We start from the raw sequence: 18,319 nt of genomic DNA, 5'->3' as shown, positions 1-18,319 counted from the left end.
TAGACTGGCGATCTCCCCGCCAAAACCACAGCCCCTTTAAGCATCACAGCTCTTCCCTACCACACAAGACGTACATAAGCCTCACCCCTGCTCCACATACCATCTTAGGGAGGGAAAGGGGCTGAGGGGAGAACATGCATCTGGGAGACCAAGCACTTTTAGTCAAGAGGAACTGGGCACAACCAAATAATCGGATCAGACAAAACTTTAAACCAATTGAGACATCAAATTAATTGTTTCCAGGCCACGAAGTTGTATTATGTGTTGAAATCCTACAGTGTATATGCAAAGTGCTTCATGATCACAGGACTGTGGGTTGGTGGAGGAAGTAGAAGTGGGACCATTCACCACCAGGGTCACTATCTCAATCAACAACTTCAGAAAACCCTTAGGGATGGTCACAGTGGCTCCTCTGGTGTTTTCTAGACTAGACTGGATGTGTTCCAAAGATTCTTACAACTTTGTACTGTCACTAGCTTCAGGTAATGAAGTTTCACAGCCTGGAGGATTGCTAATTAAAGTCAACAGCAGCTTGATGACCCTGACACCACACCCTCAATAAACAAAACCATTGCTTAGTCTGTCAGTTGCCTTAGATGCACAGGCAAAGTGAAGAGCTGTCAGAGACAAACTGGGAAGTGGGGCAGAGCTGTGCAGGGCTAGCAGAGGGGGAGCCGAGGGTGAGCTGAAAGCCAGCTGAGGGTGCGCTGGTGGGGAGAAGGTGGCCCTTTTCATCTCGGCTCTGTTCCATAGGGCTGGCACATCTTCCATTTGGGATGATGAAATCTCTACCACAGCAGGGGGAAAGGCCATTAGCCTGGCCAGCCGCGGTGGCTCACACCTGTAATCCCAGCACTTTGGGAGGCAGAGATGCGTGGATCACTTGAGGCCAGGAGTTCAAGACCAGCGTGGCCAACATGGCGAAACCCCATCACTACTAAAAAGACAAAAAATTAGCTGGGCATGGTGGCGCACACCTGTAATCCCAGCTACTCGAGAGGCTAAGGCAAGAGAATCGCTTGAGCCCAGGAGGCGGAGGTTGCAGTGAGCCAAGATTGCACCGCTGCACTCCATCCTGGGAGACAGAGCACAACTCTGTCTCAAAAAAAGAAAAAAAAAAGGCCATTAGCCTTAAGCCTTTTCAGGTTGAGGAGGTGAGTTTTTTATTGTAAATAAACAAACATAACAGTTCTTTGGACATGAAACAAAAGTAAACAGTAGGACTTACAGATGGCTTCCCATCTTAAGCAGCCTAGGAATCACAACTATTAATAATGATGTTTTCCTGGAAGGAGCTCCAAGAACTTGTAAATCAAAAAGTATCTGAGACATCTCAATTGATTTAGGTGTTTATTTTGCCAAGGTTAAAGACATGCCCATGATATAGGCTCTCGAGGTGCTGACAACATGTGCCCAAGATGGTCAGCCTATGACTTGGCTTTATATAGTTTAGAGAGACATAAGACATCAACCAATACATGTAAGGTATATATTGGTTCGCTCTAGAAAGGCAGGACAACTGGAAGCAGAGACTTCCAGGTCATAGGCAGATTCAAAGACTTTCTGATTGACAGTTGGTTATTATCTAAAGACTGGAATCAATATAAAGGAATGTCTGGGTTATGATAAGGGCTTGTGGAGACCAAGGTTTAATCATGCAGATGAAGCCTCCAGGTAGCCGGCTTCAGAGAGAACAGATTGTAGATGTTTCTTGTCAGACTTAAAGAGTTTATTCTACCAGTCTTAAGGTCTGCGTTGGTGTTAATGGTTATGAGGCATGTCCGATCTCCCCTTCCCATTATGACCCGAACTAGTTTTTCAGGTTCACTTTGGAATGTCCTTGGCCAAGAGGAGGGGTCTATTCTGATGGTTGAGGGGTTTCAAATTTTATTTTTTGTTTACAAACGGTATACCCATCATTCATACCCATTTCATAAGAATAAAGGCAGCCAACTTCGGTCATGACACAATCATTACTTAAGTAGTCCTGGAGTAACTACTAGAGAGTTAAAAGTTAATCTCTCAGTGGCTGGAAGATAAAAGGAGCAAGGAAGAGGACAGCTGCTTTTCTTTCTAGGCACTTTGTCACTTCCCAAATGCTAGGCACCGTGTGAGGCAGGGAAGGAGGTTCAGACACAAAAACTGAGAGGAAGGGGAGCAAATATGTACACATGACAACCATTCAATTATATATTCATTCAACAAATATTTATTGAACTCTGATTATGCACTGGACATTAGGTGTTGGAGACAGCTATTAACAAAACAGTCTTTGCCTCATGGACCTGCCTCTGTAGTAAAGGAGGCAGACAATCATTCAACACATAACATAGTATCGGGTAGTGACGTGTTATGAAGAAGGCATATTAGGGAGCTAGACTGTGACTGAGCAGGCAGAGAGAGGAGTTGCCCTTTTAGGGGTTGGTAGGTAATGTCTGAGATGACATTTGAGTAGAGACCTGAATCAAGTTGGAGGGTGTGATGGTTAAATTTACATATCAACTTGACTGCACTACAGGGTGCCCAGATTAAACATTGTTTCTGGATGTCTGTGAGGGTGTTTCTAGATGAGATTAGCATTTGATTTAGTGGGCTCAGTAAAGGAGATGGCCCTCCCCCATATGAGTGGACACCATCCAATCCCTTGAGAGCCTGGATAGAACAAAAAGATGGAGGAAAGAGGAATTCACCCCTTTTCCTTCCAGCCTGAGTACCAGGGCATAGATCTTCTCCTGCCCTCAGTGCCCCTGCCCTGGTCTCTGGACTTGGGCTGAATTATCCACCCACTCCCCTGCTTCTCCAGCTTGCAGGTGGCAGATCATGGGACTTCTCAATCTCCGTAATCAAGTGAGACAATTCCAAATATGAAAGTTCTTCCTATGGACAGTTGAGTCTTAAACAACACACGTTACTTATATGCAGATTTTCTTCTGCCTCTGGCACCCCTGAGACAGCAAGACCAACCCCTCCTCTTCCTCTTCCTCCTCCTCCTCCTCAGCATACTCAACATGAAGATGATGAGAATGAAGACCTTTATGGTAATCCACTTCCACTTAATAGGAAATATATTTTCTCTTCCTGATGATTTTTAAATAAAATTTTCTTTTCTCTAGCTTACTTTATTATAAGGATACAGTATATAATACATATACCAAATATGGTTTTTGTTTTGTTTTGTTTTGTTTTCTCACTCTTGTTGCCCAGGCTGGAGTGCAATGGTGCAATCTCGGCTCACTGCAACCTCCATCTCCCAGGTTCAAGTGATTGTCCTGCCTCGGCCTCCCAAGTAGCTGGGATTACAGGCGCATGCCACCACGCCTGGCTAATTTTTGTAGTTTTAGTAGAGATGGGGGTATCGTCATATTGGTCAGGCTGGTCTCAAATTCCTGACCTCAGGTGATCGGCCCGCCTTGGCCTCCCAAAGTGCTGGGATTACAGGCGTGAGCCACTATGCTCAGCCCCAGATATGTTTTTAATCAACTGCTTATGTTTTCAGTAAGGTTTTGGTCGACAGTAGGCTATTAATAGTTAAGTTTGGGAGAGTCAAAGGTTATACATGGACTTTCCACTGCAAGGAGATCAGTGCCCCTAACCCCAGAGATGTCCAATGGTTAACTGTACATCCAGTCCTCTCCTTTATCTTCTCAGTCTCCACAAGTTCCCCAACCATCATCACGCATTTCTCTTTGTTATTTTGTTTTCCTTCATGCTTACTCACTCTCATCCACATGCACATATTTCTCCCCCTGTCCAGCACAGGAGTGCACACCTGTCACCTCCTCCCGCCTTCTGTATTAGTCCGTTTTCATACTGCTGATAAAGACATTTTCAAGACTGGGTAATTTATAAAGAAAAAAGAAGTTTAATGGACTCGCAGTTTCACGTGGCTGGGAAGGTCTCACAATCATGGCAGAAGGTGAAAGGCATGTCTTACGTGGTAATGGACGAGAAAGAATGAGAGCCAAGCCAAAGCAGAAACCACTTATAAAACCATCAGATCCTGTGAGACTTATTCACTACCACAAGAACAGTATACGGGAAGCAGCCCTCATGATTCAATTATCTCCCACTGGGTCCCTCCCACAACATGTGGGAATTAAATCAAGATGAGATTTGGGTGGGGACACAGCCAAACCATATCTCATACCTCTATGGTGTCCTCACAGTCGTTTAAGAAAATCTTCTCTCTCTGATGAAATAAAAATGTTAGAACTTGGAAAATCCTTAGAGTTTACGTGGTTATTCTCAGTGCACACACACACCACTCCCCACAGTCCTCCAGATGTGTGCCTAAGTTATCCTTTGCTCAAACCTCCTACTTAAAAAGGTTTTGGGGAAGATGTTGTCCCTACTGGCAGAGGATGAAGTGGTAAGAAGCTGAGAGAGGGTTGAGACAGAGGGAAGCAGACTCTCTTCCCCGCGGCGCCCTCATGATCAGCATCACATCTTTAAAGGTACCTTCATCACCTCTTCCTTTCTTTCTTTTTTCCACTGCCTCCATGTCAATGCTGGACAGGAGCATGAGTGAAGCATGAGTTTCCTTCCATTTTCAAAACAAACCTTTAACTTAGAATGAAGGTGAAAGAATGTATTTTTTCCTAAATCAACAGTGTAAACTGGCTGGACTGTTTTGTAAAAATATCACACCCTCTGGATGTTTCATGAGCTGATTTGCATGGTACCAGATGAGTTTCTTTTTTCCTCTTTCAATCAGCTCAAGTAAATATACAACATGCAGCCAAATTACATCCTCTTACAGGAAGAGAGATTTCAAAATCTTTTCTTATTGTTTACCTGAATCTGTTTGTTCACAGTTTCTCAGACAGGCAAGATATCCTCAGAACAAAGTTACTAAAAGGATTTTCAGGTGACACAGGCTGCAGCTGGAAGTTAGTTATGTAACTTTGGTTTTGTGGCTCTTTCCATTTTCACGGTGTACAGCAGATACTAATTAACATGGAAATTGATTTGTGTGCTTGAGCATTCCAGCTAGCTGCAACAAGCATTTCACGCTCTGCGTTGGAAAATGTTCTCATTGCTTCTTTGGTAATGCTGAGCCATGGACAGATGACAATGACAGTTCACTTTTGTCACTCTGTGAATGAAGGAGTAAATAAGTGCCCCATCCACAGAACCACGGAGCTCATGTAATCCACTCAAAAAGGGACCCTGGTCCAGCAACTTTGATGCAACCTGACTTTCCTTGGACACTTCCAGTGACAGGAGACTCACTACTGTCGTCCAGCTGTTTGCCATGGCTCTGCTAGGTCTGAGTTAAAGGGGGTCACTCACACGACTGTTTCCCCTTTTGGAGCTCCCAGTGAGAGGCCACAACCCCACGGCAACTGGAAAGATGCCCATCTAATAGTCTACCCCCTCTAAGGTCAGAATTCTCTCATAAAGGTGCAGTGGCATGCACCTGGAGTCCCAGCTACTCAGGAGGCTGAGGTGGGAAGATTGCTTGAGCCCAGGAGTTCAAGTCCAGTCTAAGCAGCACGGCAAGACTCCATCTCTTAAAAAAAAAAAAAAAAAAAAAATCTCCCATAAAGCTTGCTCCTTTGCAGGTAAGAGACCATCACCATTGTTTCTTTACTATTTGTTAAGTGACCATTTTGTGTCAGATATTGTCTTATATCCCAGGGCTGCAACTTAAATAATACTTACTCTGTCTACCAGGAACTTCCAATCTAGTTTATTAAATTTTAATGACTTTGAATTAGATAAACTAGTATAAGTTATTTATAGCATTCTTTATACATTAATTCAATAAAAATTATTGACTAGAATTTACAGTCTAGTAGGGATAGAAATCTAAATAAATTATTATAACAGGATGGTGCAAGTGCCGTCATAAAGCACAGCTCATTAACTTGATCCTTCTTAAGGCAACTGGCCAGGGAAACCTCTCAGAGGTGTTAAGAGGCAGAAAACCTAAGGGCATTGAACACTTATGGGGCTGGGGGCGGGATTTAGGGAGAAGGACGCTGCCAGAAGGATCTATTGCTTTGTGATGTTATTCAAGGTTAGCCCAGCCGTGCACCAGCTGATTGACTATTGGAGTCCTTGGACACCACCCATAATCATTCTTAACCACTCATGTCGCATGGCTAATGAGAGGTCTTGCGGTACTGGCTTAATGAGTTGAAACGATTCAACTATAATTAGCACATTTATTATTTTAATATGAATCAATGCTTCTAAAGACCTCAAAAAGAACTTAATCTCTACAATAAATTAAACCCTTCCTACAAGTTCCTTCATACTACTATCACACCTAGTGTTTTCTTCTTAGCATAAATTGCACACGTCATCCCCAAAATAGTTCCAATCATAGTGGATCGCAAACAGCCAGGCTAAAAGTAATTAAGTTTTATTGTAAATTGTTTTCTGAGCTTTTCTGAAAATCCCAAGGAAAGGCCAGGAGGAGCAGATCTCCAGCTAGGGTGACATTCTGATTGGTCGTGATGACAGCAGTGCATTTTTGGTAAAACTAACAATGGTGCTTTTCAGACACAAGTCCTGCCTAACCTAACGTGGTATGAAGGAGGCCGGCAGCCAGGTTTGCACTTTCACTTGTTGCCTTTGCATCTTCATCCATCAGGCTGAACAGAGAATCAATAACCAGCAGCCTAGCAGGATTTTTTAAGGTTATCACTCCCAATCCTTCATTTGATGGATGCTGAATGTTGATCAAATTGACTGAGAGTTGAAAAGTTGCCTTCTGCTGCAGGTTTGATGAGTTACCATTTTCTGCCAGATAAAGAAGTTTCAACAAAGGAAGAAAAATTACTTTTCTGGGATCTGCTCTTGCTCTATAGAAACAGAAACGCAGCTAAGAGGCTTAAAGTAGAAACAGCAGAATATTTAGGTCTCACCGAGGACCCTGCCTATTTTGACAGGGAAGTCCTTTTGTTCTATGTACATATTTTGAAAAACCACTGTTTCTTTTTATAGGAAAGGATTTCTAAAAGGCATTCTTTGGAAACTCCAACGTAAAGCAAAATCTATTAGACATCTAGGATATGGTCTTGAAATTAATGTTAAGTGAGAACTGACATATCAAAGATGTAAGTATTAAGATTCTAATCTATTTTTACAATGAATTCCCATTTGTCCAAAATGTTTCCAAATTCTAGAATTTTTTAAGAAATTCGGATTAAAGAAATACCAGAGAATGCTGGCTTTGGCAATGGTCTTTTCTCCTTTCCATGTTTGTAACTACTTCCTCCAACAGAGAGAAATATCTACAATAGTTTTAGAATTGCTAAGCCAAGCCACTGAGAAAAGCAAGCCTATTAACTAGAGTTCGATATTGTTGAAATTATTTTTCTTCTTGAGGTTAAATTTGCATAAAGTGCAATGCAGATATCTTAGGTGTACAATTCATTGAGGTTTGATAAATATATACCTCATAGAATTATTACTGCAACCAAGATACATGGAACATTTCTATTATCCCCAAAATTGCTCTTATGTCCTCTTCCAGTCAGTCCCCAACTCCCACAGATAACCGTTCTGAAGTCTATCACTGTAGAACACTTCAGCCTATTCTTCTTTTTTTTTTTCTTAGAGACAGGGTCTAGCTCTGTCACCCAGGTTGGAGTACAGTGGCACAATCATGGCTCACTGCAGCCTTGAACTCCTGGCCTCAAGTAATCCTCCTGCCTCAGCCTTCAGAGTAGCTAGAATTATAGGCACACACCACCATGCCTGGTTATTTTTTCAACTTTTGTAGAGGCAGGGTCTCACTATGTTGCTCTGGCTGGTCTTGAACTTCTGGCCTCAAGCAATTCCCCTACCTTGGCCTCCCAAAGTGCTGAGATTACAGGCGTAAGTCACTGCATCTGACTTTATTTCAGCCTATTCTTGTACTTCATATGAATGAAATCATGAAATTATGTGTTCTTCTACATTTGGGCTCTTTTGCCCAACAGAGTGAGTTTGACATTTGTTCATACTGTTGGGTCTAGATCAGTTGTTTCATTCCTTTTACTGCTGAATAGTATTCCAGGGTATGAATATTCCATGAATTGTTTACCCATTTTCCTGTCAATGGACATTGGTTTTGTTTTTGTTTTTGTGGTAAGAAGACTTATCATGAGATCTACCCTCTTAACAAATTTTTTATCTACCCTCTTAACAAACTGTTGAGTGTACAATGTAGTATGGCTAAATATAGTCATTACATTATACAGCAGATCTCTAGAGCACAGTCATCCTGCTTAACTGGAGCTCCACCTGTCAAATGCTCCCCATTTCCTCCTCCCTGCAGCCTCTGGCAACCACCATGCTACTCTCTGCTTCTGTGTACTTGACTCTTTTAGATTCCACATTGTATTAGTCTGTTCTCACGCAGCTATGAAGAAATACCCGAGACTGGGTAATTTATATAGGAAAGAGGTTTAATTGACTCACAGTTCCCCAGGGCTTGGCCTCAGAAAACTTACAATCATGGCAGAAGGGGAAGCAAACATGTCTTTCTTCACATGGCAGCAAGAAGGAGAAGACCAAGAGAAGTGCAGATCGAAGGGGGGAAAAGCCCCTCACAAAATCATCAGATTTCATGAGAACTCACTCACTATCATGAGAACAGCACAGGGGAACCGCCCCATGGTTCAATCACCTCCCATGAGGTCCCTCCCCCAGCACATGGGAATTACAACTCAAGGTGAGATTTGGGTGGGAACACAGAGCCAGACCATATCACACATCTAAGTGAGATCATGCAGTATTTGTCTTTCTATGACTGGCTTATTTCACTTAGAATAATGCCCTGAAGTTTCATCCATGATGTCATGAATGACAGGATTTCCTTCTTTTTTCTTTTGAGACTGGGTCTTGCTCTGTCACCCAGGCTGGAGTGGACTGGTGTGGTCATAAACCACTGCAGCCTTGACCTCCTGCGCTCAAGCAATCCTCCACCTCAGCCTTCCATGTAGCTGGGACCACAGGTGTGTGTCAACACACCCCGCTAATTAAAAAAAAAATTGTAGAGACGATATCTCACTATGTTGCACAGGCTGGTCTTGAACTCCCGGGCTCAAGTGATCCTCCTGCCTTGGCCTCCCAGAATGCTGTGATTATAGGCACAGCCAGGATTTCCTTCTTTTGACGAACATTATAGATTTTCCCTCAGGATTGGTTATTATGAATAAAGTCTGTGGGAATATAAATGGGTGAAACCATTTTGGAAACCATTTGACAGTTTCTTATAAGGTTATAATACTCCTACCCTATGTATGACCCAGCAATTCCTCCGCTAGGCGTTTACCTAAAGGAATAAAAATGTATTCACAAAGAGACTTGTGCAAGAATATTTATAGTGGCTTTATTCATGCTTGACAAAGTCTTTCAATGAAGCCATCTAGCCTTGGTTAACTAGTTCTCCAGTGGAATTCTACTCTTTGTCATTCATTCTCTTGAATATAAGAATAATACAGATTTGAACATCCATCTGTTAACTCCAATAAGTAGGTGACCTGTATGTCTGTTTATGTTGTCTTTTCTTCCTCCTCTTCATGAGTGTCCTGGGTAAATTTTGTGTATGAGGTTCTGGATAATGCTATCATCTTCCAGAGAGGGCTAGTCCTATTTTCTGGTAGGCAGATAAAGTCACAACTAATCAGGGACTGGTTTGTTTGTTTGTTTTTTAGTTTCCATCTACCTCTCATTTTCCCCATACATAGGGTATAGCCTCCAGGATTCCCAGCTGAGGTACTGGAGTGCTGACTGAAGCCCTTCTCCCTGGGTCTTGAATTCCAACTCTGGCATCCCCAGCACTGTGAGAAGGAAGAAAACTCTGCTTTACCCATTGGGAGTTTTCTGCTTTGCTTCAAAAGCAGTTTAAGAATTCAAAAAGTCAACAAATCCCTAGAAAGACAAAGAGCGGTTTGTTGGGCAAAAATGTGCTGTGCCTCCCTTGTGACCAGGATTTCTGCTCCCTTCCACTCCAAATTCCAAAGACTTATTAGCCCTAAACTCCAATTTCTGTCTTTCTAGTCCTTTAAGATTGCCAACATTTCAGCAGGCATCTCTCTTCTTAGCAGCAGCTTTCTGCCTAGGCCTTCTGCCCAGAATCTCATCTTCCCGCCTCCCATGACCAACAACTGGCAAATACTTGGAGGGAAAAAAGACAGCATGAGGTTGGCTTTCCTCACTGTGGTGTTCTTCTCTAGGGATCGTGGCTGATAGGGTCTGTTTGCCTCAGATAGTTTGTGATGCTTTCAGTTTTTTCAAAAAACAATCTTTCTAGTTGTTTTGTAGGAAAGCTTCAGTTCACTGTAACCTAATTTGTCCTAGTTAGAAGCATAGGTTATGACTTAAATATTTTTCTTGTCTAACTGCACTGGATAGGACCAATTCAATGTTTAAGTAACTTGACTTTTCTTTTAATGAGAATGTTTATTAGGTTGTTCATTAAGATGGATGTTTTGGGCAAGATTGGAACAACAGACACTAGGGACTCCAAAAGAGGGGAGGGAGGGAACGAGCAAGGGTTGAAAAACTACCTATCGGGTACTATATTCACAATGTGGGTGGTAGGATCAATAGAAGCCCAACTTCAGCATCACACAATATACTCATGTAACAAACTTGCATATGTACCTCCTGAATCGAAAAAAAAAAAGATTGGTGTTTTATGTGGCTTTTTAATAGATAGCTTTTATCAGATCAAGGATATTCTTTAATATTCTTAGTTTTCTATATTTTTATCATTAAAAAGCATTATTTAATTTTTCTGTATCTATTAATATGATCATATCATTTTTCCCCTTTCATCTCTTAATTTTATAAAGTCGTGTGTGTGTGTGTGTGTGTGTGTGTGTGTGTGTGAGATGTGCTTTCCTAATTGTATTAGGGTTTTCTAGAGGGACAGAACTAATGGAATAGGTATATATAAAAGGGGAGTTTATCAAGGATTGTTAACTCACACAATCACAAGGTCCCACAGTAGGCCACCGCAGGCTAAGGAGCAAGGAGAGCCAGTCTGAGTTCCAAAACTGAAGAATTTGGAGTCCAGTGTTCGAGGGCAGGAAGCATCCAGCACGGGAGAAAGATGTAGGCTGGGAGGCTACGCCAGTCTCTCTCTTTTCACATTTTTCTGCCTGCTTATATTCTAGCCATGCCGGCAGCTGATTGGACTGTGCCCACCCAAGGGTGGGTCTGCCTTTCCCACTCCACTGACTCAAATGTCAATCTCCTTTGGCAACACCCTCACAGACACATCCAGGATCAATACTTTGTATCCTTCAATCCAATCAAGTTGACACTCAGTATTAGCCATCACACTAATATTAAACTATTCTTTCATTACTGGAATAAATCTAGATTGATTATGATACAGTACCTTTTATTACATTTATGACTGGATTCTATTTTCTATCACTGGTTTAGAATTTCATCTTTGCTAAAGTTGCAATTAGATTTTTTCTTTTCTTCTGCTGGGCTTGCCTGATTTTGCCATCAAGACTAAATTAAGCTAATAGAATGAGTTGGAGAATATTTGATCTTTTATTATGCTCTAGAAAACTAAGTCTAAGATTAGAACAATGTGTTCCTTGAAAGCTTTTTAGAACTTACCTGTAAAAATCATCTGGGCACGGTGTTTTATTTGGGTAAAAAATTTTAACTACTACTTTCATTTATTTTCCTTATATATATATTGAGCTAGTCAGTCTTACTATTTCTGTTTTTGAGACAGTTTCCCTATAGGTCATATTTTTCTAAGAATTTATCCATTTTGTCTAAGTTTCCAAATTTATCACCATAAAGCTGTTCACAGTATTTTCTTATCTTCTTTTAATTTTGGTTGTATCTATAGTTATATCCCTTTTTCTCACCTCAATATTACCATTTTTTTCTTTACCAATCTCACCAGATAGCTGACTATTTTATCAGTCTCTTTTAAAGACCAAATTTGGGCTTTGTTCTAGGATGTGTTGTTTTTTAAAAAATCAGTGTTTGCTCTTATTTTTATGTTTTCTCTCCTACATTCTTTTGATTTAATCTATTGCTTTATCTTCCTTCATTTTTTCATATTGACACGTAAGTCTTTATTCCTTTCTGAAATAAGTGTTTAAATCTATTATGTTTCATCTGAAGTATCACTCATAAATCTTGCCTCATTCCAGAAAGGACTTGATGAAGCTCAGAAAGATGTACATAGTACAAGATTTAAAAGTAAGAACAGGCCAGGCGCTGTGGCTCATGCCTGTAATCCCAGCACTTGGGAGGCCAAGGCAGATGGATCACCTGAGGTCAGGAGTTTGAAACCGACCTGGCCAACATGGCAAGGCCTCATCTCCACTAAAAATACAAAAAATTAGCCGGGCGTGGTGGCGCGCTCCTGTAATCCCAGCTACTCGGGAGGCTGAGGTAGGAGAATTGCTTGAACCCAGGAGGCAAAGGTTGCAGTGAGCCGAGATTGCACCACTGCACTCCAGCCTGGGCAACAGAGCAGGACCCTATCTTAAAATGAATAAATAAATAGGCTGGGCATGGTGGCTCACACCTGTAATCCCAGCACTTTGGGAGGCCGAAGCGGGCGGATCTCAAGGTCAGGAGTTTGAGTCCAGCCTGACCAACATGTTGAAACCCCGTCTGTACTAAAAGTACAAAAATTAGCCAGGTGCAGTGGTGCACGCCTGTAATCCCAGTTACTCAGGAGGCTGAGGCAGAAGAATCACTTGAACCCAGGAGGTGAAGGTTGCAGTGAGCAGAGATCATGCCACTGCACTCCAGCCTGGGTGACAGAGCAAGACTCCGTCTCAAAAAAAAAATTAAAAATTAAAAAAAATTAATAAATAAAATAATATGAAGGGATTCTTGATAGATGGCAATAGTGGTTTGTTTGTTTTAACTAAGCTGTTTCTTATACTTAAAGTGGGTTCCTTGTTGGCAGCATATGGCAAAGTATTGTTCTTTAGTCCAATCTGACAATCTCTGCATTTGAATTGGGGTATTTATACCATTTATATTTAATATAATTATTGATATGGTTAGATTTAAATCTGCCATATAGCTACTCATTTTCTCTATGTCCCATCTGTTCTTTGCTCCCTTTACTCTTTTTATTCCTTCTTTTGGATTCAGGTTTTTTATTATTTAATTTTACCCCCTTTGTTGTTGTATTAGCAATACCTCCTCTTGTGTTATTTTAGTGTTTGTTTTAGGGTTTATACTATACATCTTATGTTATCACAGTCTACCTTCAAGTGATATTACATCACTTCACAAATAGTATAAGAACATACTTCAATTCTTCTTCTCTCAGCTTTGTGCTATTGTTGCCATATACTTTACTTCCACATATGTCATAAAACACACAATAATTTGTCATTTTCTCTTTAAACAACCAATTCTGCTTTAAAGCCTGCATTCTCAATGGGGTTATATTGCCCACTCCTACCCACCAAGGGGCAAAAAAATAAAAATAAAGTTCTTGGAGACTGAAAAAAATGTTCAATATTACAATGGCTTGTATTTCCCCAAAAGGCCACAGAACATAAACAAATACATGGTATATCTGTGGTATTAAAATTTTATGCAGAAGGTGGGGAGAATTTGGTTGGGGAAAAAGGTCTAAAAATGCTTCGTCAGAGAATAAAATTAAAAAGACTGAGAAACACTTTAAAGAGATTTAAATAATTTTAAAAACCCTCATATTTACCCACATAGGATAGTTCCCATTCTCAATACTTTTTGTTCCTTTGTGGAGATCCAGATTTCCATCTGGTATCATTTTCTTCTACTTGAAGAGCTTTCTTAGCATTTCTTCTCACTCAAGTCTTCTTATGATGAATTCTTTCCACTTTTGTTGGTATGAAAAGCCTTTATCTCATCTTCATTTCTGAAAGATATTTTCACTAGGCAAAGATATCTAGGTTAACAGTGTTTTTCTTGCAGTACAGATTTTCCCTGACTTACGACTTTTTAATTTTATGATGGTGTAAAAGTGAAACACATTCAGTACATTCCTTGACTAATGATGGAATTATGTCTAGATAAACACATCATAAATCAAAAATGTAAGTTGAAAGTGTATTTTAGACATGATATTTTCAATTTATGATGAGTTTTTTGGAACATAACCCCATCATAAGTCAAGCAGCACTTAAACTTCAAAAATGTAGTACCACTGTCTTCTGGTTTACATTTTTTCTGAGAAGAAATCTGTTGTCATCCTTCCGTAAACAACGTCATTCCCCAACTCCCTCTGACTGCTTTCTTCTTATCACTAGTTTCTCTCTCTCTTTTCTTTTAATTCCAGAGGACCCAAATCACTAATTTTAAGCAATTTGATGATGTTGCGCTTTGGGGTCATGTGTTTTTGTTTTTGTTTCTTTTTTTGTTTTTGTTTTTGTTTTTGTTTTGTTGGAGTCTTGCTCTGTCACCCAGGCTGGAGTGCAATAGCACAGTCTTGGCTCACCACAACCTCTGCCTCCCGGTTCAAGCAATTCTCCTGCGGCAGCCTCCCAAGTAGCTGGGATTACAGGCATGTGCCACCACACCTGGCTAATTTTGTATTTTTAGTAGAGACAGGGTTTCTCCATGTTGGTCAGGCTGGTCTCGAACTTCTGACCTCAAGTGGCTCACCCGCCTCAGCCTCCCAAAGTGCTGGGATTACAGGCATGAGCCACCGCACCCGGCGTGGGGTCATGTTCTTAACCTTTCTTGTGCTTAAGGTTTTTTGAGATTCTTGGATTTGTAGCATTATAATTTTCATCAAACTTGGAAAGTTTTCAGTCATTCTTTAATTTTCTTTGAGTCTTTAAAAACAGGCTTACTGGAATTTAATTCACATCATACAATGCACACATTTAATTTGTATAGTGCAATGTTTTGTAGTATATTTATAGAGTTGGGCAACCATCACAACAGTCAATTTTCAAACATTTTCATTACCCCAAAATGAAACCTGATACCCACTGGCAGTCACTTTCCAATTACCTCCAACTTATAAGCCCTATGCAATCACTTATCTATGTTCTATCTCTACAGATTTGCCTATTCTGGACTTAAAAAAAATAGTCATGCAATACGTGTCTTCTGTGGTTTAAAAAACAGAATGTACTGTCTCACAGTTCTGGGGGCTAGGTAACTGATAGCAAGATGTTAGCAGCATTGGTTTCTTCTGAGGCCCCTCTCCTCGGCTTGTAGATGGCCATCTTCTTATGTCCCCACATGATCTTCTCTCTGTGTGTGTCTGTGTCCTAATCTCCTCTTCTTGTAAGAATACCAGTCAGGTTGGATTAGGTCCACTCATGGACCTCATTTTACCTTAATTATCTGAAGACCCTATCTCCAAATACAGTCACATTCTGAGGTGCTGGGGGTTAGGACTTCATCATATGAATTTTTGGGAAACACAATTCAACCCATAATACTAGGCAGTGAGGACACTGAATTCATTATACTATTTACTCTATTTTTGTGAGAGTTTGAAATTTTTCATAATAGAAGGTTTTAACTTTTATTAAATTAGAAAATTGATGGAAGAGAATAATAAAGTTAAGCCAGTATGAACCACTGTAATAGCTCTAGAAAGAAATACAATCACTTATCTTTAAAAAAAAAATGACTTGATAATCCATAGGCCTATTAGCAGACCACCTTTTACATTCCTGAAGGGTGAATTTTGTCCCCTCAAATTCAAATATTGAAGTCCTACCACCCAGTACCTCAAAACATGACTGTATTTGGAAATAGGGTCTTTAGATAACTAAGGTAAAATGAGGTTATACGAGTGGATCCTAATCCAATCTGAATGGTATCCTTATAAGAAAAAAAGATTAGGGCACAGACACACAAAGAGGGAAGACCACGTTGGGACACAGGGAGAAGATGGCCACCTGCAAGCCCAGGAGAGAGGTCTCAGAAGAAACCAACCCTACTGACATGTTAATAGCAGCTGTAGAGCCTCCAGAACTGTGAGGCAGTAGATAAGGTACCTCAGCCTCCAATGTCTAAGAAACCCAAGATCATATCCAGTCCAAAGGGCAGTCAGACCTTCCCTATGTTAGGCATTAGATAGAACTGGAGTCTCTTTAGTACACCACTGATTTAACTTTTGCTGACATTTAATATTGCCATTTAAGTTTAATCTTTCACAATATTACAAGTATATCACAAGTTATACTTGCCGAGTAAAGCAACACAAGTGACCTTAATGGTCTGTATCATGGCATAGGCTGAAATATTAGAGGGAGGACAATTGAATATCTCCATGCTAGGGTCAGCCCCAACATGTAAATATCAAAGTTACAGCCATTAGCTTTTAGGTTTTTTTGGTTCACTTATGCAATTTCTTATTAATATTCCTCCAAGAGAACTGAGGATATTTCCAACACACCATGGAGTCAGAACACCCAATGAATCAAGATGAAATAAGATAAATATCCAAATTAGCTCAATGGGAGAAAAGAGGTTAATAGTCACAGAATCATAGAATTTAGAGGGCTGACTTCCATTTATGGCAATATAGTAAATTAACTGAGAACCCTCCTATCAAAAAACACCTGGAAATGATGGACAAAATATAATAAACATGCTTTTAAATATATAACTGAACATGCAAGAAAGTAAGAGAAATCCCTCGGGGCAAAGCCAGAAATGAAACAGAAATGCAGCTCAGACTGCCCTGATAAATGTTGCTGGACTTGATAACTGAGGGGCTACTATTTTAACAGCCATGTGAGGACAGGAGATAAAGCCTTGAATCTATAGTAGGAAGCTAGAGTGTAAGTTATCTAGTATCAGCACCCTCAAAGGCTTATACTTCAGTAAAAGGGTAGATTAGGAATAACATCCACCCACTGGCAAAGAGGTGTGACAAGAGAGCTTTCTGGTCTCATCTTGTCCTCTAGGTTACATTGTCTTTAAAACCAATATTACTCTGAGAATTCTAACTATGAATCATTTTCTCCTGCATTTGCAGTTTAAATTCATACTATCTTTGTGGTCTGTGAATCTCACCTCTGGTATGCCTGAGAGGAAGAAATGCTTTGAGGGACACAACTTTAACCCACACCTCCAAAATCTCAACAGATGAGGCTCCACCAGACATCATTAGCTCATCATCACTAAGACAAGTGAGAAGATTCGAGGGTTGGACCCACTCATATGTAACTGAATCATCTGAAACCCAGATATTTTAAATGACTTACCCAAAAGTTCCACAGCATTTAATTGGCAGAGACAGACCAGAGCTCAGGGCTTATGAGTTGTCTGTGAATTATTTACTCCTTCCAGCAATCTGCCTCTTTCCATATAGAAGTTCTTTCTCTGGAGAATCTAAGGGAAAAATCAGGTTCAATTGTCTTTATTTATTTATTTATTTGTTTGTTTGCCTTGAGACGGGGTCTCACCTTGTTGTCCAGGCTGGAGTGCAGTGGCCCAGTCTCAGCTCATGGCAACCTCCTACTCCTGGATTCAGGTGATTCTCCTGCCTCGGCCTCCAGAGTAACAGGGATTACAGGTGCATACCACCACATCCAGCTAATTTTGTATTTTTAGTAGAAATGGGGTTTCACCATGTTGGCCAGGTTGGTCTTGAACTCCTGACCTCAAGCGATCTACCCACCTTGGCCTCCCAAAGTTCTGGGTTTACAGGCATGAGCCACTGTGCCTGGCCTCACTTTTCAATATAGGATTGTTGATTTTGAAGACAATTGAGGCCAAGCATCGTGGGTCATGCCTGTAATGCCAGCATTTTGGGAGGCAGAGGCAGGCAGATCACCTGAGGTCAGGAGTGCAAGACCAGCCTGACCAACATGGTGAAACCTCATCTCCATTAAAAATACAAAAACTCACTTTGGGAGGCCAAGGCGGGCGGATCAAGAGGTCAGGAGATCGAGACCACCCTGGCTAACACGGTGAAACCCCGTCTCTACTAAAAATACAAAAAATTAGCTGGGTGTGGTGGTGCACGCCTGTAGTCCCAGCTACTCAGAGGGTTAAGGGGGGAGAATGGTGTGAACTCGGGAGGCAGAGCTTTCAGTGAGCCAAGATCGCGCCACTGCACTCCAGCCTGGGCGACAGAGTGAGACTCAGTCTCAAAAAAAAAAAAAAAAAATTAGCCAGGCATGGGCATGCACACCTGTAGTCCTAGCTACTCAGGAGGCTGAGGTGGAAGAATGACTTGAACCCTGGAGGTGAAGGTTGCAGTAAGCCAAGATCATTCCACTGCACTCCAGCCTGGGCGACACAGTGAGACTCTGTCTCAAAAAAAAAAAAAAAAAAAAAAAAAACACCAAAAAATGAGACTATTTGCCCCCAAATACTCAAATAAGCAAGTGGATTCTGCTACTGTGGTGCTTCA

General features: G+C 40.9%; 1 long non-coding RNA gene across 2 annotated transcripts; it reads right to left on the bottom strand.

Annotated features, from left to right (window-relative positions):
• Positions 1 to 2,186: 2,186 nt before the first annotated feature.
• On the bottom strand, positions 2,187 to 17,907 carry LOC105373218 (uncharacterized). 2 transcript variants are annotated; one of them, XR_001738550.2, is made up of 3 exons: positions 13,670 to 17,907; positions 9,008 to 9,779; positions 2,187 to 6,750 (listed from the first exon to the last, which is right to left on the bottom strand). It is a non-coding gene; the product is annotated as an uncharacterized LOC105373218 (long non-coding RNA). The 2 variants fall into 2 exon arrangements; XR_007066963.1 differs by having other exon boundaries at positions 9,008 to 17,359.
• Positions 17,908 to 18,319: the final 412 nt, after the last annotated feature.

This window comes from Homo sapiens, chromosome 1, assembly GCF_000001405.40.
Source record: "Homo sapiens chromosome 1, GRCh38.p14 Primary Assembly".
In the NCBI taxonomy this organism is placed as follows: Eukaryota; Metazoa; Chordata; class Mammalia; order Primates; family Hominidae; genus Homo; species Homo sapiens.
The sequence above is the reverse complement of the archived record's forward strand: the minus strand, read 5'-3'. Positions and strand labels throughout refer to the sequence as shown.